This window comes from Homo sapiens, chromosome 11 (genome assembly GCF_000001405.40).
Source record: "Homo sapiens chromosome 11, GRCh38.p14 Primary Assembly".
Classification (NCBI taxonomy): Eukaryota; Metazoa; Chordata; class Mammalia; order Primates; family Hominidae; genus Homo; species Homo sapiens.
The window spans coordinates 10,340,708-10,361,562 of NC_000011.10; the positions used below are offsets into that span (position 1 = coordinate 10,340,708).

Sequence of the window (20,855 nt, forward strand, 5' to 3'; positions counted from 1 at the left end):
AAAGGATCACAGCTCCTCACCAACAACATAACAAAACTGGATGGAGAATGACCTTGATGAGGTGACAGAAGTAGGCTTCGGAAGGTCGGTAATAACAAACCTCTCCGAGCTAAAGAAGCTTGTTCTAACCCATTGCAAGGAATCTAAAAACCTTGAAGAAAGGTTAGATGAATGGCTAACTAGAATAAACAGTGTAGAGAAGACCTTAAATGATCTGATGGAGCTGAAAACCACAGCATGAGAACTTCGTGATGCATGCACAAGCTTTAATAGCTGATTCAATCAAGTGGAAGAAAGGATATCAGTGATTGAAGATCAGATTAATGAAATAAAGCGAGAAGACAAGATTAGAGAAAAAAGAGTAAAAAGAAACGAACAAAGCCACCAAGAAATATGGGACTAGGTGAAAAGACCAAATCTATGTTTGACTGGTGTACCTGAAAGTGACGGGGAGAATGGAACCAAGTTAGAAAACACTCTTCAGGTTATTATCCAGGAGAACTTCCCCAACCTAGCAAGGCAGGCCATCATTCAAATTCAGGAAATACAGAGAACACCACAAACATACTCCATGAGAAGAGCAACCCCAAGACACATAATCATCAGATTCATCAAGATTGAAATGAAGGAAAAAATGTTAAGGGCAGCCAGAGAGAAAGGTCGGGTTACCCACAAAACGAAGCCCATCAGACTAACAGCAGATCTCTCAGCAGAAACACTACAAGCCAGAAGAGAGAGGGGGCCAATATTCAACCTTCTTAAGAAAGGAATTTTCAACCCAGAATTTCATATCCAGCCAAACTAAGCTTCGTTAAGTGAAGGAGAAATAAAATCCTTTACAGACAAGCAAATGCTGAGAGATTTTGTCACCACCAGGCCTGCCTTACAAGAGGTCCTGAAAGAAGCACTAAACATGGAAAGGAACAACCGGTACCAGCCACTGCAAAAACATGCCAAATTGTAAAGACCATCGATGCTATGAAGAAACTGCATCAATTAATGCGCAAAATAACCAGGTAGCATCATAATGACAGGATCAAATTCACACATAACAATATTAACTTTAAATGTAAATGGGTAAATGTGCCAATTAAAAGACACAGACAGGCAAATTGGATAAAGAGTCAAGACCCATCAGTGTGCTCTATTCAGGAGACCTATCTCACGTGCAGAGACACACATAGGCTCAAAATAAAGGGATGGAGGAAGATCTACCAAGCAAATGAAAAGCAAAAAATAAAAAATAAAAAAATAAAAAAATAAAAAAGCAGGGGTTGCAATCCTAGTCTCTGATGAAACAGACTTCAAACCAACAAAGATCAAAAGAGACAAAGAAGGCCATTACATAATGGAAAAAGGATCAATTCAACAAAAAGAGTTAACTGTCCTAAATATAGATGCACCCAATACAGGAGCACCCAGATTCATAAAGCAAGTCCTTAGAGACCTACAAAGAGACTTAGACTCCCACACAATAATAATGGGAGACTTTAACACCCAACTGTCAACATTAGACAGATCAACAAGACAGAAAGTTAACAAGGATATCCAGGACTTGAACTCAGCTCTGCACCAAGTGGACCTAATAGACATCCACAGAACTCTCCACTCTAAATCAACAGAATATACATTCTTCTCAGCATTACATCACACTTATTCTAAAATTGACCACATAGTTGAAGGTAAAGCACTGCTCACCAAATGTAAAAGAACAGAAATGACAACAAACTGTCTTTCAGACCACAGCGCAATCAAATTAGAACTCAGGATTAAGAAAGTCACTCAAAACCACATGACTACATGGAAACTGAGCAACCTGCTCCTGAATGACTACTGGGTACATAACGAAATGAAGGCAGAAATAAAGATGTTCTTTGAAACCAATGAGAACAAAGACACAATGTGCCAGAATCTCTGGGACACATTTAAAGCAGTGTGTAGAGGGAAACTTATAGCACTAAATGCCCACAAGAGAAGGCAGGAAAGATCTAAAATTGACACCCTAACATCACAATTAAATGAACTAGAGAAGCAAGGCAAACAAATTCAAAAGCTAGCAGAAGGCAAGAAATAACTAAGATCAGAGCAGAACTGAAGGAGATAGAGACACAAAATCCCTTCAAAAAATCAATGAATCCAGGAGCTGGTTTTTTGAAAAGATCAACAAAATAGACTGCTAGCAAGACTAGTTAAGAAAAGAGAGAAGAATAAAACAGACACAATAAAAAATGACAAAGGGGATATCGCCACCAATCCCACAGAAATACAAACTACCATCAGAGAATGCTATAAACACCTCTATGCAAATAAACTAGAAAATCTAGAAGAAATGGATAAATTCCTCGACACGTACACCCTCCCAAGACTAAACCAGGAAGAAGCTGAATCTCTGAATAGACCAATAACAGGCTCTGAAATTGAGGCAATAATTAATAGCTTACCAACCAGAAAAAGTCCAGGACCAGAAGGATTCACAGCCAAATTCTACCAGACGTACAAAGAAAAGCTGGTACCATTCCTTCTGAAACTACTTCAATCAATAGAAAAAGAGGGAATCCTCCCTAACTTATTTTATGAGGCCAGCATCATCCTGATTACCAAAGCCTGGCAGAGACACAATAAAAAAAGAGAATTTTTGACAAACATCCCTGATGAACGTCAATGTGAAAATCCTCAATAAAATACTGGCAAACTGAATCCAGCAGCACGTCAAAAAGCTTATCCACCATGATCAAGTCGGCTTCACACCTGGGATGCAAGGCTGGTTCAACATGTGCAAATCAATAAACATAATCCATCACATAAACGAACCAACCTCAAAAACCACATGATTATCTCAATAGATGCAGAAAAGGCCTTTGACAAAATTCAACAGCCCTTCATGCTAAAAACTCTCAATAAACTAGGTATTGATGGAACGTATCTCAAAATAATAAGAGCTATTTATGACAAACCCACAGGCAATATCACACTGAATGGGCAAAAACTGGAAGCGTTCCCTTTGAAAACCGGCACGAGACAAGGATGCCCTCTCTCACCACTCCTACTCAACATAGTGTTGGAGTTCTGGCCAGGGCAATCAGGCAATAGAAGGAAATAAAAGGTATTCAATCAGGAAAAGAGGAAGTCAAATTGTCCCTGTTTGTAGATGACATGATTGTTTATTTAGAAAACCCCATCATCTCAGCACAAAATCTCCTTAAGCTGATAAACAACTGGAGCAGTCTCAGGATACAAAACCATTGTGCAAAAATCACAAGCATTCTTTACACCAATAACAGACAAACAGAGAGCCAAATCATGAGTGAACTCCCATTCGCAATTGCTACAAAGAGAATAGAATAGCTAGGAATCCAACTTAGAAGGGATGTGAAGGACTTCTTCAAGGAGAACTACAAACCACTGCTGAATGAAATAAAAGAAGACACAAACAAATGGAAGAATATTCCATGCGTATGGGTAGGAAGAATCAATATCATGAAAATGGCCATGCTGCCCAAGGTAATTTATAGATTCAATGCCATTCCCATCAAGCTACCAATGACTTTCTTCACAGAATTGGAAAAAAACTACTTTAAAGTTCATATGGAACCAAAAAAGAGCCCACATAGCCAAGAGAATCCTAAGGAAAAAGAACAAAACTGGAGGCATCACGCTACCTGACTTCAAATTATACTATCATGCTGCAGTAACCAAAACAGCATGGTACTGGTACCAACACATAGAAATATATATATATATATCTGTGTTGTTATATATATATGTGTATATATACGTATATATACATATGTGTATATATATGTATATATACATATGTGTATATATATGTATATATACATATGTGTATATATGTATATATACATATGTGTATATATATGTGTGTATATATATGTGTGTATATATGTATATATATATGTGTGTATATATGTATGTATGTATGCATGTATACACCAGTGGAACAGAACAGAGGCCTCAGAAATAACACCACACATCTACAACCAACTGATGTTTGACAAACCTGACAAAAGCAAGAAATGGGGAAAGGATTCCCTATTTAATATATGGTGCTGGGAATATATATATATGTATGTATGTATGTATGTATATATGTATGTATACACCAATGGAACAGAACAGAGGCCTCAGAAATAACACCACACATCTACAACCAACTGATGTTTGACAAACCTGACAAAAGCAAGAAATGAGGGAAGGATTCCCTATTTAATATATGGTGCTGGGAAAACTGGCTAGCCATATGTAGAAAGCTGAAACTGGATCCCTTCCTTACACCTTATACAAAAATTAACTCAGATGGATTAAATACTTAAATGTAACACCTAAAACCATACAAGCCCTAGAAGAAAACCTAGGCAATACCATTTAGGACATAGGCATGGGCAAAGACTTCATGACTAAAACACCAAAAGCAATGGCAACAAAAGCCAAAATAGACAAAAGAGATCTAATTAAACTAAAGAGCTTCTGCATAGCAAAAGAAACTACCATGAGAGTAAACAGTCAAGCTATAGAATGGGAGAAAAATTTTGCAATCTACCCATCTGACAAAGGGCTAATATCCAGAATCTACAAAGAACTTAAACAAATTTACAAGAAAAAAACAAACAACCCCATCAAAAAGTGGGCACAGGATATGAACTTCTCAAAAGAAGACATTTATGCAGCCAAAAGACATGAAAAAAATGCTCATCCTTACTGGTCATCAGAGAAATCCAAATCAAAACCACAATGAGATACCATCTCATGCCAGTTAGAATGGTGATCATTAAAAAGTCAGGAAACAACAGATGCTGGAGAGGATGTGGAGAAATAGAAACACTTTTACACTGTTGGTGGGAGGGTAAATTAGTTCAACCATTGTGGAAGACAGTGTGGTGATTCCTCAGGGATCCAGAACTAGAAATACCATTTGACCCAGCCATCCCATTACTGGGTATATACCCAAAGGATTATAAATCATGCTACTATAATGACACATGCACATGTAGGTTTATTGCAGCACTATTCACAATAGCAAAGACTTGGAACCAACCCAAATGTCCATCAATGATAGACTGGATTAAGAAAATGTGGCACATATACATCATGGAATACTATGCAGCCATAAAAAAGGATGAGTTCATGTCCTTTGCAGGGACATGGATGAAGTTGGAAACCATTCTCAGCAAATTATCACAAGGACAGAAAACCAAATACCGCATGTTCTCATTCATAGGTGGGAATTGAACAATGAGAACACATGAACACAGGGTGGGGAGCATCACACACCCGGGCCTGTCAGGGGTCGGGGGCTAGAGGAGGGATAGCATTAGGAGAAATACGTAATGTAGATGATGGGTTGATGGGTGCAGCAAACCAACATAGCACATGTATACCTATGTAACAAACCTGTGTGTTGTGCACATGTACCCTAGAACTTAAAGTATAATAAAAAATAAAATAAAAAAATAAAATCAGGAACATAGTATCAACCAAAAAGAATTAGTTACTTCAGAGGATTGAAATTAAAAGAAAATTATGAAAATGTTAAAAAAAAAAAAAAAAAGGCAAAGACTTGTGAGGAGGAGTGTTTTTGCCCTTCTCCCTCTCCCTGTCTGGAGCTTTGATCCAATGCGGTAGCAGCAGCCATTTATTTACCAAGACAATGAAAGCTGAGAGCTAAGTATGGTGGAGCAGAAAGATGGAAAGATCCTGATTCCTTGATGACAACCTTTAGCAACTATGCTGGTTTTGGTCCACCCACTTCTGGATTTTGTGTTATGTTTAAAAAAAGCCTTTACTTTTTGTTTTGTTTTTTGATTCAGGGTCTTGCTCTGTCACCCAGGTGGGAGTGCAGTAGTGCAATCACCGCTCATTGCAGCCTCAACTTCCTGGGCTCAAGTGATCCTCCCACCTCAGCCTCCTGAGTAGCTGGGGCTACAGGTGCATGTCACCACACCTGGCTAAGCCTTTACTTTTTTGAACTAGTTAGTAAAGTGGCCCTCAAACTTAGCTACCCATTAAAATCACCTGTGGAGTCTTAAAGTTCCCAGTTTTAAGATCTCCCTATACACCCCCAAATGAATAGGAATTTTTGGTGGTAGGATCTAAGCCTCAATAATTGGAAGCAGGATTTCATTCTGTCTCCCAGGCCAGAGGGCAGTGGCACAACCATAGCCCATTACAGCCTTGAACTCCTGGTCTCAAACGATTCTGCTGCCTTAGCCTCCCAAAGTGCTGGGATTACAGGTGTGAACCACTGCACCCAGCCCTAGCTTCAATAATTTAAAAAACTCTCCAGCAGATTCCAATGTGTAGCCCAGATTAAGAACCAGTGGTTTAAACCACCTGTTTTGGTTTTTAATATTTTTTGTTATTCCCAGCTGGATACATTTGTAATTAATACATGTTTTGAAGCTATATTCAAAAAATTGAAGCACGTAAGTTCTCCCATTTCCAACCAGCTTCATCTCTACTCCCATCCCTAGCAGAATCATAATCCTCAGATTGCTGTACCTCTTTCTTCAAAATTTCTTCTCTGCATCTACAAATGCATATTAGTTTTCTATTACAAAAATCCTTCCAGGGGCTATTCAAGTGAGGCCAGAGAGGTGACATTGCCATATAAGTTAGAAAAACCAGGACAGTGCTGACTTCAAGTTTTCTATCTCCATAAGCCACCAGAACACCTGGAAAATATCAATGTTTTAGCATCCAAACTATAACTTCCAGCCTGCCTTTTGTAGTCTGAAATATCAGGAAAATAATATTTCATTGATACAGTTTAATTTTCCACTTCAGGTGTTTTAAACCGTGTATACAACTTTTTGTCTATGATTATTTAACTGTGAGAGACAGAGGATGTTGAAAATGATGTTTCTGGGCTTCAACATGTGGAAACTCTCAATTTTTTTGTAGTGAAGTTCTCTTCTTTGAGTTCTTGCCTTAAGTTTCAGTTGTTTGAAGGTAGTTTCTGTTGAAGAGACATTATCTTTGAATAACAAGCATCATATTTTTTGTCCTGTGTTGTTTCATTTTAAGTTGAAAATCACATTGAGATCTAAGAGCCGTTGAAATTGGCACATCATAACATTTCCAGCAGCCCTATTGCACCTGTTATCATATCTAAAAATGTGTATTAAAATAACCCTCTGTTGAAAAGACACAGCTCCAGGGTTAGGATTCCTATGGCAATCAAAGTATTAATTTTGGGAGTTTACAGTGTAACTTGCAAAAACATATGCAAATTTGTTTTATCATGGGAGGCAGAATTGCATGACAGGTTTTAGAATGAGAAGGTATGGGTTCTAATCCCAACTCTGCCACCTAATGACTATGTGATTTGGAGCAGGTTACTAAATCTCTGTGCCTCACTTTGTCATCTATAAAATGGGAATGTTATTGTGAGAATTAAGGAGATAATACATGTAAAGCATCTAGAACTGTGTCTGGTACACATTACATATTAAGTAAATGTTATCTATTATTATTATCTGTATCAATTTGAAATCTATGTTAATTAATTTCTCTTCCCTCTCAACCTGCATCTGTGTCTTTTTGGGTAGTTCCCTGTAACAAGTTGGTTGAAGAGGAAAAATTCCAGGCCTTGTTTAAAGATGGTTCTGTCCAATATGCTGGCACTACCCAAAAGTAGGTGGTTGTACCGTTGCAGTTCCACCACAGCATGGCCTTGAAAGACAGGGTGAAGGAAAATCTTCCCAGTGGACAGTATGAATCTATATTGACTTAGGGTAGCGGCTAATGGTTTGGCTGGATGGTCAAACCTTAAAAGGATCATGATTAAAAACCTGGTGGCAGGGAGAGCTGAGAAAGAGGTTTGTAGGTAGAATGTTACGAATTTGCACGGAATGGGAAGATAGTATATCCCATGTGAATGCTCACCAAACAGCAATCTTATCAGAAGAAGATCTTAATAAGTAGGTGGATGAGATTGCTGGTTTTGTGAACATTTGTTACCCTCTTTCCCCAGGTTCCCCTTTTTTGTTCTATGGAAGCCACATAAAATGGTCCATAGGGCTATCTGGGGGCTCAGCAACATGGACTTTGAATCACCGCTGCTGAGTGTCCAACCTGCCAACAGCAGACATCAACACAGCATTTATTTGGCACCATTCCCTGGGAGTACCAGTTTAGCCACCTGGTGAAAAGTTGATTATAAAGGATCACTTTCATCATGGAAGGGACAGAACTTTGTTCTCACTGGAATGAATAGACACTTACTCTGGATAAAGATTTGTTTTTCCTGCTCACAATGCTTCTTCCAAAACCACCATCCAGGGATTTACAGAATGTGTTATTCACATGGTGTTTCACAGAGCATTGCTTTTGACCAGGGAACTCACAGCAAATGAAGTGTGGTAATGGGCTCACGCTCATGGAATTCACTAGTCTTGCAAAATACCCCATTACCTCGAAGCAGCTGTCCTGATAAAGTGGTAGAATGACCTTTTGAAGGCATAGTTACAGGGCCAGCTGGGTGGAAACACCTTGTAGAGCTGGGGCAGTGTCCCCTAGTATGTAGCGTATGTCCTAAATTAGTGACCAACATATGTTGCTGTTTCTCCTATAGCCAATTTTTCTGGGTTCAGGAATGAAGGAGTGGAAATGAGAGAGTTTCTTCTTATTATTAAATTTAGTCATCCACTATGAAATTTTATCTTCCTATCTCTAGAACTTTAGGCTCTGCTGGTTTAGAAGTCTTGGTTTTCAGAGGAATAATATTTCCTCCAGGGAGCACAGCAACTGTATCATTAACCTGGAAGTGAAGATGACCACCTGGCCACATGGGCTCATCATGCCAGTGAATCAACAGGAAAAAGAGAGGGCTACTAAACTGGCTTGGGATAACTGATCCTGACTATTAAGGAGAAATTGAATTTCTCTTCAGAGAAGTTCTCTTAGAGGCTGGTATGACCCATATATCAAGGCCAAGTCTGCTGGATTAGACCTGTAGTTAGTTAAGACTCATTAATGGCAAGGCATAATGTCCTAAATCAAACCAGCTTGAGAAAAATGAGGTATTTACTTACAGAATTGTCTCTTGGAACTCAATGAAGTGGAACCAGCCCTCAAATGCTGGTACAGCTCCCCATATCCTGTCTCCACTTCTATCTATTTGCACACCAATTTCATTCTTTGTTCTTACTGCAGACTGATTTCTGCTCCTCAGTTCATGTGGCTGAAAACATGGCTGCTAGTAGTAACAGCTTTAGCTACCTGGAGACTAATTTCTTTCCTATTCCAGTGGCAAGCTTTCTGGGAAAGGACTCTGATATGTCAAGCTTGCTTCAAGTGCCTGGGGGAGAGGTCATATTGTACCAACATGTGGCTTCCATGGAGACGTCATGGATAGAGTTGGTTGATCAGGAGGTTGGGGATGGGTGGGGAGGTGATTGTGAGAAAGTCTGTTCCCAGAAAAAGAAGGGAGCTGGGCTGACAAATTATGGGGCTCTATTACTAAGTAGACCCATTTTTATACCTAATAATAATTACAAATATAAATAAATAAGTGGTAACTAATATTTACAGCATTTACTCTGTTAGACCACATACACATATATGATGTTTAGCACAACATAGGGTTCTGAGAATTTAATGATTGTGTCTGTGTATATATATACACAGTGTGTATACATGTAATCACAGTCTTTAAGGTAAGTTTAATTTTTGTCCCCATTTTATAGATGAGAAAACTAAGACTTGGAGAGAATTAAGTAACTAGTCCAAGTAAGTAGCTAAGCTTGAACTTGAACCCAATGTATTTGTTTCCAAGGGCTGTCCTTGTAACATGACACTTGAGTCCCTTCCCCTCATTCTCCAGGCTCTAGGCACCCAGTCTCACCACCAGATTCCAGAGTGCTGACTGGGCCCCTGAAGCCCTCATTGGGTCCTGCTAAATGCTTTCTCTGGGCTGGAATTTGCCCCTGGGCCCCAAGTGTCTGACTCTGTTGGATAAATTGAGTCCAAACCTCTGTTTTTTTAATATGTAAAAATGGATTGCTATAAGGATTATGGAAGCTACATGAGGGCAGATATTTTTGTCTATCATGTTCACTGCTAATCTCCTGCACCCAAAACAGTGCTGGGCACTTGACAACTATTTGTTAAATGAATGAATGAGACAAACTGAGGCTCACAAGGATTTTGCTTAAGGAGTAATTGGATATTCTTGCCTTTTGGCTATGATTAGGCTTTTGTGTGCGGGGTTAGGCAAGTGACAGGGGAAGACGTGGAGGGGATTTTGAAGAAGCTGTGTATATGGGGAGGCAGAGAGAGAAATAGGGAGAGAGAGAAAGAGAGAGAGAGGAAACTGTCACAGGGAAGTTAGAGAGAATGGAAAGGGAGAGAAGGGAGAAGACAATGGAGGTGTTAAACTAAGTATTTTTTTCAAATTTATCTATGTATTTAATTGACAAATAAAATTGTATGTATTTATTGTGTACAACATGATTTTTGAAATTTGTATACATTGTGGAGTGGCTAAATTGAGTTAATTAACATATGCGTTACCTCATGTACTTTTTTTTTGTGGTGGGAACACTTGAAATCTACTCTCTTAGCAATATTCAAGAATGCAAGACATTGTTATTAACTATAGTCACCGTGTTGTACAATAGATCTCTTGAAGATTAATATTTACCTGTGGTCTGCAATATAAATGTCCCTTCTATGTCCCCATGGAGTCAGTGGTAGAATCTGCATTATTCACTATTGCTTTAAAGGTATCTTTGTGAAGTGCTGGCCTTAAGGCAGGTCCAGAGTAAGGCCATGGGGCTGAGCATACTTGGGGTATAATTAAATGAGATAAGGTAAGTTAAATCTCCACCCAGCACCTGGCCCACGGAAGCTAATCAGTAAATATTTCCTTGGGAGCCCATGACCTTGGCTGACCTCGTGTGTGTCCCTTCCCACAGCACGGGGCTCTTTGCATGCCGGGAAGTCTCAGAATGTCTGCCTCCTTGCTAAGCCGATTTTGCAAGGAGTCTTCTTGATGGTATCACCAAGCTCTGAGATATGGAGACTTTGTGCCACTTCACTCTAGGCAGAGTTCCTTCATGCTGTGTGAGGTAGGAGCACACACGCTCACCAAAGAAAACACCCTTTAGCCTGGTTGGGAGACTCCCGGGTTAGGCGCTGATGTAATTTGTTTTCACAAAAACTGTAGCAGCCTTCTGAGTTAAGCATTTGCTCAGCTGGTCTTTGCCAGACGACAGATGCTTTGTGTCATTGCCTGTTGACAGTGGCCTTAGTCACACATTGTACCTCAAAGGCTGAAACATCCCAGGGTAAAATGATTATGAGGAAGGCGAGCTGCTCCAGAGATCTGGAGGGATCACGTTGGGTACCCAGCCGGGCTGGCCCCAGGGATTCTACTCCAGGTGTAAGAGAATTGGTTAAACAAAGGAAATGACAATCAGTTCAGGCCCTTACTGTGATTGGGCACGAATGTTCTCAGAGCTGCCATAGATATTTTAATCAGGATGTCCTTTTCACTTGAATGAGAGGAATGCAGGTTCTATATTTACTTGTTTGTCCCTTCTATCAGATTGTGAGGCCCAAGGGGGCAGGCGCCTCTAACTGATTCATCAGCCTGTGCCTGCTGCGTAGCACAAAGCCAAGCACAAAGCCGGGCACAAAGGACTCACTTGGCGAAAGTTTGTGGGATGGAAGAATGAATGCGGTGTCTTCCTCGGAGTCCCCTCTTTTCAGGCTCCGCTTTATACCCTTTCTCTGGCGCAGGTCCCTGCTCACTGCAGGTGTCTCCTAAGAGCTTATGTCCCTATGTTTCCTTCTCATCCTGGAAACGGAAGTTTATTTTGAAGCCTGCTCTATTGTTCGTCCGGCTTGTAATCCCAAACTGAATGGGACTGATTTGTTGTATGCTTGGCTGGTCTTCACAACGCATGTTTTTGTGATATGTAACATTTCCTTTTAGATCAAGTGTGGCCTGGTATAGTTGCAAGGGCCAGAGCGTCCAGGGCAGCTGGTGTTCTGAATTTCAGCCTTCCCATTTTCTATTGTTTTATTTTTTTAATTATTATTATTATATTTTATAGAGATGGGGTCTCCCTGTGTTACCCAGGCTGATCTCTAACTCCTGGGCTCAAGTGATTCTCCCTCCTTGGCCTCCCAAAGGCATGAGCCACCATTCCCAGCCCCATTTTCTAATTGTGTAATTCAGTAAATTGGATTTCATAGAACCTCAGCTTCCTTTGTCCATAAAGTGGATATAACAAGGTGAACTTGGCTGAGATTAGACCCAAATATTTTTGGATCACTTGAGAAGTAAGTAGAGACTGAAAAAGAACTGTCATTTGTAATCCGTACACATTTTTGTGTTTCTAAAAAGAGGAAACGTCTCAGAAAATGCTTCTTATAGGCCGTATGCAAATATAGAGAAAAAAATCTTACCTTGGGATGGGGGAAGTTCTGCTACTATGACTCCAATAACTAAAATGTTTGGCAAAATTGTGTAAAATGTCAACATATTAGGCAGAGTTGATCTCTTCAAAAGGTTTTATTTGGAGCATTTTATCTTTCTTTCTCTTTCTTTTTCTTTGTCTGTCTCCTTCCCTTCTCTGCCTTCCCTCCTTTTCTTTTCTTTTTCTTTTCTTTTTTCTTTTTCTTTCCTTTTCTTTTCTTTTTCTTTCCTTTTTCTTTTTCTTTTTCTTTTCTTTTCTTTTCTTTTCTTTTCTTTTCTTTTCTTTTCTTTTCTTTTCTTTTCTTTTCTTTTCAGATAGGGTCCGGCTCTGTCACCCAAGCTGGAGTGCAGTGACACAATCATGGCTCACTGCAGCCTTGACCTCCTGGGCGCAAGCAGTCCTCCCATCTCAGTCTCCTGAGTAGCTAGGTGTATAGTTATGTGCCACCATGCCTGGCTATTTTTTTTATTTTTATTTTTTTGCAGAGATGGAGTCTCACTATGTTGCCCAGGCTGGTCTCAAACTCCTGGGCTCAAATGATCCTCCCACGTCAGCCTCCCAAAATGCTGGCTTTATAGGTGAGAGCCACCATGCCCAGCCTAAAATTTCCTATGTATTTACAATGCCATTTGTCACTTTATTATTGCTTGCTCTTGAAAATTTTTTAACGGATAAGCCATTTTTCTTTTTTTCTGAGACAGAGTCTTGTTCTGTTGCCCTGGCTGGAGTGCAGTGGCATGATCTCTGCTTACCGCAGCCTCAATCTCCTGGGCTCAAGCGATCCTCTCACCTCAGCTTCCTGAGTAGCTGGGACTATAGGGGCACCATGACTAGCTAATTTTTGTATTTTTTGTAGAGATGAGGTTTTGCCATGTTGCCCAGGCTGGTCTTGAACTCCTGGGCTCAAGCAATTGGCCCACTTTAGCCTCCCAAAGTGCTGGGATTACAAGCGTGAGCCACTATGCCAGGCCGAATAAGCCATTTTCCAACTAGACAATCATAGAAACTCAAGAGCTGAGACACTGAAGATGGCTAGACAACTGTATAACCATGATCATAGACTCATGCTAGAGGAGAGAATGGGGAAAAGAACTTAACTGGGCTTTATGGGACTCAGCATTGACTGGGCTGTTATTATCACACACAGTGTTCTATGGTTAGAATGCTTGTTATGTTATTGTTTAGAAGTTGGAGTTTTCCACGAAATAGACACATTAATTCTCAGGCCTCCTGGAACACGATCAATCCTAAGGCAGGAAATAAAGACTAAGGACATGGAGCTTAGGTTGAAGTGTGAGGGAAATAACTGCCTCCTTGATCTGAACCTCAAGGATTTGTAGAATGAAGTATCTTCCCACTGTGGGGAGGCAGGCTGGCCCTTCCTCCATGGCAGCAGTAGAGAGCAATGTAGAAGTCAAACCCAGAGACTGGGGAATCTGGGCAAAGGTACTGAGTTTCAAGTTTCTCTCTGTTGTAATTCTCTTTTCTCTCCAAGCCTTTGGTAATGTCTTGTTAAAAGTTTCAGCCTAGTCTGCTTTATCACAACAGGGAAATGGTGGAGGAGTCTGTACAGCCCATGCTGGGGCACAACAGTGGAGTTAGGAAAGTTGTACCCTGAAGGAAGCAGGTGTTCAGACATAGGAGTCCCCCATGTGGGGCCAGGCAGCTGGCAGAGATGAAAAGTACAGAGGAAATGGGTGGACCACGTAAGTGTTCCCCAGCGGAATTGGATAAAATCCTGATTTCACGAAGTCAAGTAGGATGAGGCTCAAGCTACAATGATGGTGCATTAAATAGAAGCATGAGTTTACAAACTGGTGAAGTCTGACATACTTGAGTTCTATTAGACACTAATGTCTACTTCATTCAGCTATAAAGGACATACTATTATAGTCAGATCTCACTAAATAAATAAATTCAATTCATAGCTATGATCGTAGCTACATTTCCAGTATAAATTTAATTGATCGATCTTTGAGATTCCTTCGTGTTCAGAAGTTCTGTGAGTTTATGGGGTACTGGAAATACCACTGGAGTCAGCCCCGCCCGAGTGTCCATTAGATCCCCCAACCACATCCCCCTCATTCACTGTCTTCTTTCCCCTCAACTGGCATGGAGTGTGGGGCAATACAGGAATGTTTCAGAACGTGTAGCCAGGGCATGTTGTAATTTATTAGGAGTCACTCTTAAGTGGAGAGGATCTTATTCTTCAGATAGTCATTCACATTCTTGGAAATTATGGTTCTGAGGTCTCCTTGGTTGCAGGAGGGGAAACTCCCATTAATCTTGTGACGTGCTGATGAATTGCTTGAGAATTTCTTAAAAGCAGAGGAGACATGTCAGGAGGAACATAAACAAAACCTCAATTTCAAAATAGCAAAACAACATAAATCTTCCTTGAAATTTTCACATGAGTAGATCAGGCCATGCTACAGGTCAAGGCCAAAGAGCCACAAGGCAGACTGTGTTCCCCAAAGATGGCCACAGCAGCATCTCTCCTCCCACATGTTCTTCCTATGATGACATGTTGGCACTTGTACAACCCTCCTTGTGAGAGATGTGGTCTATATTCCATCTGCTTGAATCTGTACAGGCTTGTGAATTTGGGGGAAATTATGCTATGTAATTTCTGAGCCTAGGTCATAAAAGCTATGGTTTCTGCCTGGTTCTTGTGAGATATTTGCTCTTGGAACTTATAGTAGATATCTATTGCTATGTAACAACCCCAAAACTTAGTAGTTTAAGACAATACACATTTATTATCCATCCCACAGTGTTTCTGAGTTAGGAACTCAACCACAGTTTAACTGTGTCTTCTGCTTCAGAATCTTTCACAAGGCTATAATCAAGATTTTGGTCAGGGCTGGGGTCTCATCTGAATGTTTGAATGGAGAAGAATCTACTTCCAAAGTCACTTACGTGGTTTATTCGTGGTTTTTGGCAGGATTCACTTCTTTAGGGATTGTTGGACTGAAGACCATTAGTTTTGTATAGCTATTGGCCAGGGTAACACTCAATTCCTTACCATGTGAGCTTCTTCATTGTGGCAGTTTCCTTCATCAAAGCCAGAGAAAGAGAGAGATTATCTTGTGACCTAATCATAGCAGAAATATTCCTTCAATGTTGCCATATTCTATGAGTTAGAAGCAATTTAATCAAGGGGATGAGATTACACAAGGCTGTGAATACCAGCAGGTGGAACTCATTGGGGACCATTTTAGAGGCTTCTTACCACAGAATTTAACCAGCAAACTATGAAGAAGCCCAGATGAGGAGGTCATATGCAGACTTTCTGACCTCAAGCACCAAGACACATGAGTGAAAGAGCCTTCAGATAATTCCAGCTCCCAGCTATTCAGTAATCCTCAGCCTTGAGACTTTCCAGCTGAGGTTCTAGATGTTGTAGAGCAAATACAAGCTGTCCTTGTCATGTCCTTCCCAAACTCCTGACCCATATAATCCTTGAGAATAATAAACTGGTTGTTGTTTTACACCATTAGGTAGCAAGTGGAACAAGCCACATATCTTGAAGTTTCATTGTTCAGCTAGTCACCTGATTTGACCATATGAAATGACCATTGCATTTTTGCTCATGCCAATTTTTGCAACTGAATTGATATCACAGTTCAGCTAAAATTTTGCGAGCTGAAAATACCTTAAGAGTCCACACAGGTCTGAAAAACCTCGAAACTTTCTGGTTGCCATAGGTACCTTTTTGTCTTATCTAATAAAAGCAGCACCCCATTTTGGGTATCTTGCCTGTAGCAGCAGTTTGTAAAATTCTTTCAAAGGGCACAAGACAAATCAAGTTTTCCCAGGCTCAGTTCTGGGATTCAGCTGAGCTTTTATGGTCAAGGGCATACTCCTAAATCAGACAGGATGCTCTAAACATTCTCATTAGTCCATTTTGAATAGGACTATCATAGTGCTTGGTCTGGCATGAACTATCCATCAGAATAACTCTGCATACTTTTTGTTTACACATGTGTATTGAGTAATTTTTTGAATTACCTTAATAAACATCTGGCACTAGAATTCTTGATGGGAAGGAAGTGTTTTTGCTTGGAAAAAAAAAGAGTTTAATAATGAAGCAAACGAGGTATAATTCCTCCTTCCCCCACTAGAGCCTCTCTGCATGAGATAAGGAAAGGAATTTATGTCTGACTTTGGAGAGATTGGATGGAGAAGAAAGAACAGAGGAAAGAGAAGACAGAAGGAAGACAGAAGAACCAGAGGAGCATGTGAGGATGGGTGCAGTGAGGTGAGGGTGGGTGTAGTGTTGAAGCCAATAGAGAAAACCATCTTAAGTGGGTGGCTGACAAGGACTGCAGGGAGCAAGAATGTGCAATGATGAATGAGACTTTTAGGTTGTCCAGGGTACAGTGAATGAGCAGACTCACTTTCTGTGAAACCCCTCCCAACATTTTCAGCAAAGTCTATTAAATTCATATATGGTATATTAAGATTTTTTTCTGTGAAAGAGCTAAATTTATGCTTTGATTGATGTAGCACAGAGCAAAGACTACTCAAAGAACATTATCCCTGAGAGACTAGGACAGGAGAATGTATGTGTCCTGGGTATTTACAGAAATTTCGGAGAAAGCTGTAGACTTCCATAGGCCATGGGGATGTGTATTTTAAGTCAATTGTTACCCAAGACTTATGAAGCAGAGAGGTCTCAACTGACATGTGGGCTACTTGAACATCTCTGTGTCAGGTCCAGCCTGGTTCCTCACCCCCATATCCTTCCTCAATTTTCTACCCTGTCTCTTCTCACCTATGAGCCCAGCCCTACTCCAGGTTCCTGGTACATTCTTGAGATGTAAGAAGCATCTTAAGATGACTAGATCCAGACTGATGGTCTAGGGCTCCACATAAAATCAGTCCTGCTGCTCAGGACTTTCCTGATTCATGCCCCTCTTTTGAAAAGTAGAACTAATTTTATTCTCAAACACTGGGGTCTTCTCTCCTCCTCCATCCTGTGGGTCTCAGGCCTTGTAATTGGGCTTCTGCTTTGGAATATTTTCTAAATTTCTAGGCATAAACTAGGAGGAAAGCAGTTTACCCTAGAATGGGGCTAAGTCTGCCTATGGAGGGGACTAGATTGCAAAAACCTTGAGTTCTAGGCCTAATATGATACAAACTTGCTATTTGACTGTCACAAAGTCATATTTATTCTGTAGACCTTGGGGTCCTCACCTTTAGAACACTGTACTTATTATTAATAACTTAGCAGGCTTGGACATAAGTTGTATAGGGTTCTCAGCACCATGGACTATTCCCACAAGTCAACTGGTCTGCTGCTTGAGAGCAGCAGCTAAAACTGGAGGGAGTTTGTCCACTTCAAACACACAGACTCAACCAGTGGAGCAGGGTCAGCCCCGACGTGAAAGGATGCTGGCCAGGGAAGGCAGGGACTCAGAACCACAACCAGAACCCAAGCCAAGAGGACCTGGGTTCAGGACAAGTCTCAGTTTTCGGGGTGGGGGGGCACTGAAAAGACAGACTGAGGGAAACTGAGGCTGGAAGTCAAGGATATGGACTGAATCAATATAGCTGTTAGGATGTGGCTAGGAGACCCTGGGGTTACTTCTAGCTTACCAGTTCTGGAGACAGAAGTATCAAGATGATATCGGGGCAACTGGATCAGCTGGTGCAGTTGAGGTTGCTTAGGCTCTCCCTTTCCTGCTCGGGCCTGCCCTACCATGGTACCAAGCCTGTCTATGGAATGGGCTAGATTGCTAATACCAGATCTGTCCAGGCAAGAGATTCCAGGGTTCCACGAACAATCTCAGACATGTTGGAAGGGGTGCAGGAACTCTGGCGAGGACAAGCTCCAATACCTTTCATAGTCCTCAGAGAGGATAGGCCAGGGCACATCTGGATTGGGTCTCTTTAAATTCTGTGTATTAGATTCACTTCTGGGATTCATTGCAGTGTGGCAGAGAGAAATCATAGTGCCTGATACATAGTAGGCTCCTAATAAAGGTTGGTTAAATGAATGATGAAAATTGAATAAAATAAATAGGAAAGGCTGATGGCTGGAGAAAAGATAGATTGGCAGTGATCCTGGGCTAATGGGCTCAGGGAAACAGGCCTGTTTTCCTCATGTGATCCTTACCACCAACAACTGAGCTTCAACCTTTCCCCTATAATAAGAGAAATAATTCTCAAAACACATTTTCAGATTATAGATTGCCAGAACCAGGGAGATGTTTCTACTCTTGACCCAATAATCCTACTCTTGGGATTTTATCATAAGAAAATAATTCAGCAACAACAAAAAGCCAAGTGCATAAAGATATTTATGACAGCATCATCTGAGGCAGCAGAAAAATGGAAACAGCTCACAAATCCACCAATAAGGGACAGGCTGAGTAAATTTTGGTATGGAATATTCTGTAACCATAAAAACGATCACTGTGAAGATTAGGTACCAAATGCAGAAAACACAGAATAAATAATTTAGACAAAAGAAGTATACCAAATGCTATATATGTTATTAGTGCAAATGTGTTGAGTGTTTCTTCATCTCAAGCAATTAATTTTTCTGAGTTCCTATCACTGTAGTTAAATCCCAAAAATAATATAAGATTTACTTCAAATCTGCACTCCAGCCTGGGTGACAGAGCAAGACTCCATCTCAAAAAAAAAAAAAAAAAAAAAAAAAAGAAATCATGGAACTAGCAGAAAATAACTTTAAAACAGTTATTATAAATATGCTCAAGTATTTAATAGTAATATGAACATAATAAGGAAGGAAATGATAGATATTAAAAAGAATGAAATGGAAATTCCAGAGCTGACAAATGGAATACATAAAATGAAAAATTCACTCATGGGCCTAATAATGCATTGGACACTGCAGAAAAGATCAGTGAACTTGAAAACAGAGCAATAGACTATCCCAACTAAAATGCAGAGCAGGGGAAAAGACTGAAAAAGATGTTCAGAGCCTCTGTAACTTATTGGACAATATAACAAGAGGTATAACAGATGTGTAACTGGAGTCCTAAAAGGAAGGGGAAGATGGAATAATGGCAGAAAAAGTTCTCATATTTGATAAAAACTATAAATCCACAGACCTAAGAAGTTCAATAAACCCCAAGCAAGATAAATACAAAGTAAGTCATACCAAGGTAAAACATAATCAAATTGCTGAAAGCCAATGACAAAGAGAAAAATCTGAAACTCAGCCAGAGAAAAAGAGATACCTTACTTATAGGGACACACAGATAAAAATGAATGCAAAAATAAGCCCTTGTTTCTAGCAACACCTTCAAAGTACATATTAAAACAAAAAAATCTGCCAACCTAGAGTTCTCTGCCCAGGAAAAATATCCTTTAAAAATGAAGGTAAAATAAAGACTTTTTTAGACAGATAGAAGCTGAGAATTTGTGACTATCACCTGGACTACAAAAATGTTAAAGGAAATCTTTTTTTTTTTTTCCAGATATGCTCTTGCTTATTTTTGTAAAAACATTTTGTAGAGACAGAGTCTCTCTATGTTGCCCAGTCTGGTCTTGAACTCTTGGCTTCCAGTGATCCTCCCACCTTGGCACCCCCCAAAGCTCTGGGATTACAGGCATGAGCCATCACACCTGGCTATGAAATTCTTGAGACTAAAGAAATATGATACTACGTGGGAACTTGGAGCTACATAAAGGAAAGCAGAGTGGAGGAAATGATAAATGTATTTATGGAATTTTTAAAAATTTAAACATTTTATTAAAAGATAATTCACTATTTAAAGATAACAACTTTTCATGATGCTTATAACATTATGACCACAATAGCACAAAAGATGGAAGGGTAAATAGAAGCATGTTGTTGTAAGATCTTATACATGAAGTGGTGTAATATTGTCTGAATGTAGGCTGTGGTAGGGTAAATATGCATATGCAAAACAAGAAGCAACAGAACAAAACATGTCCAAATAAGTGCAGTAAAAAACCTCAAATAACAGGAGGTAAAATGGAATACTGAAAAAGCAATCAAATAATTCAAAAGAAGTCAGGAAAAAGAAAAAAAGGAACAATGAAGAACAACAACAAAAAAAGAAAAAATGGAGGCTGGGCACCAGTGGCTCACACCTGTAATCCCAGCACTATGGGAGGCTGAGGTGGGTGGATCACCTGAAGTCAGGAGTTCAAGACCAGTCTGGCCAACATGGTGAAACCCCATCTCAAAAAAAAAAAAAAAAAAAGAAAAAAGGCCAGATGTGGGGGCTCACGCCTGTAATCCCAGCACTTTGGGAGGCTGAGGTGGGCAGATCATGAGGTCAGGAGTTCAAGACCAGCCTGACCAATATGGCAAAACCCCGTCTTTACTAAAAATGCAAAAAAAATTTAGCCAGGCGTGGTGACGTATGCCTGTAGTCCCAGCTACTCAGGAGGCAGAGGTAGAAGAAT

At 40.1% G+C, this 20,855-nt stretch overlaps 1 long non-coding RNA gene across 1 annotated transcript in view, besides 5 other annotated features; it reads left to right on the top strand.

Moving 5' to 3' along the window:
* Nucleotides 1–20,855, top strand: part of CAND1.11 (uncharacterized LOC100130460) — a 122,361-nt gene that overhangs the window by 32,395 nt on the left and 69,111 nt on the right. The gene's annotated exons all lie outside the window — the stretch shown is intronic.
* Nucleotides 10,490–12,446: an enhancer, noted in NCBI's record as "VISTA enhancer hs2289". NCBI's record gives its function as "enhancer in: forebrain[5/5]" and the evidence as "EXISTENCE:transgenic organism evidence [ECO:0001131][PMID:17130149]".
* Nucleotides 11,157–11,687: an enhancer, noted in NCBI's record as "OCT4-NANOG-H3K27ac-H3K4me1 hESC enhancer chr11:10373411-10373941 (GRCh37/hg19 assembly coordinates)". NCBI's record gives its function as "activates a minimal SCP1, AML or CMV promoter by ChIP-STARR-seq in naive and primed H9 embryonic stem cells {active_cell/tissue: H9 hESC(naive and primed)}" and the evidence as "EXISTENCE:reporter gene assay evidence [ECO:0000049][PMID:30033119]".
* Nucleotides 11,688–12,219: an enhancer, noted in NCBI's record as "OCT4-NANOG-H3K27ac hESC enhancer chr11:10373942-10374473 (GRCh37/hg19 assembly coordinates)". NCBI's record gives its function as "activates a minimal SCP1, AML or CMV promoter by ChIP-STARR-seq in naive and primed H9 embryonic stem cells {active_cell/tissue: H9 hESC(naive and primed)}" and the evidence as "EXISTENCE:reporter gene assay evidence [ECO:0000049][PMID:30033119]".
* Nucleotides 12,751–13,282: an enhancer, noted in NCBI's record as "NANOG-H3K27ac-H3K4me1 hESC enhancer chr11:10375005-10375536 (GRCh37/hg19 assembly coordinates)". NCBI's record gives its function as "activates a minimal SCP1, AML or CMV promoter by ChIP-STARR-seq in naive H9 embryonic stem cells {active_cell/tissue: H9 hESC(naive)}" and the evidence as "EXISTENCE:reporter gene assay evidence [ECO:0000049][PMID:30033119]".
* Nucleotides 13,283–13,813: an enhancer, noted in NCBI's record as "NANOG-H3K27ac-H3K4me1 hESC enhancer chr11:10375537-10376067 (GRCh37/hg19 assembly coordinates)". NCBI's record gives its function as "activates a minimal SCP1, AML or CMV promoter by ChIP-STARR-seq in primed H9 embryonic stem cells {active_cell/tissue: H9 hESC(primed)}" and the evidence as "EXISTENCE:reporter gene assay evidence [ECO:0000049][PMID:30033119]".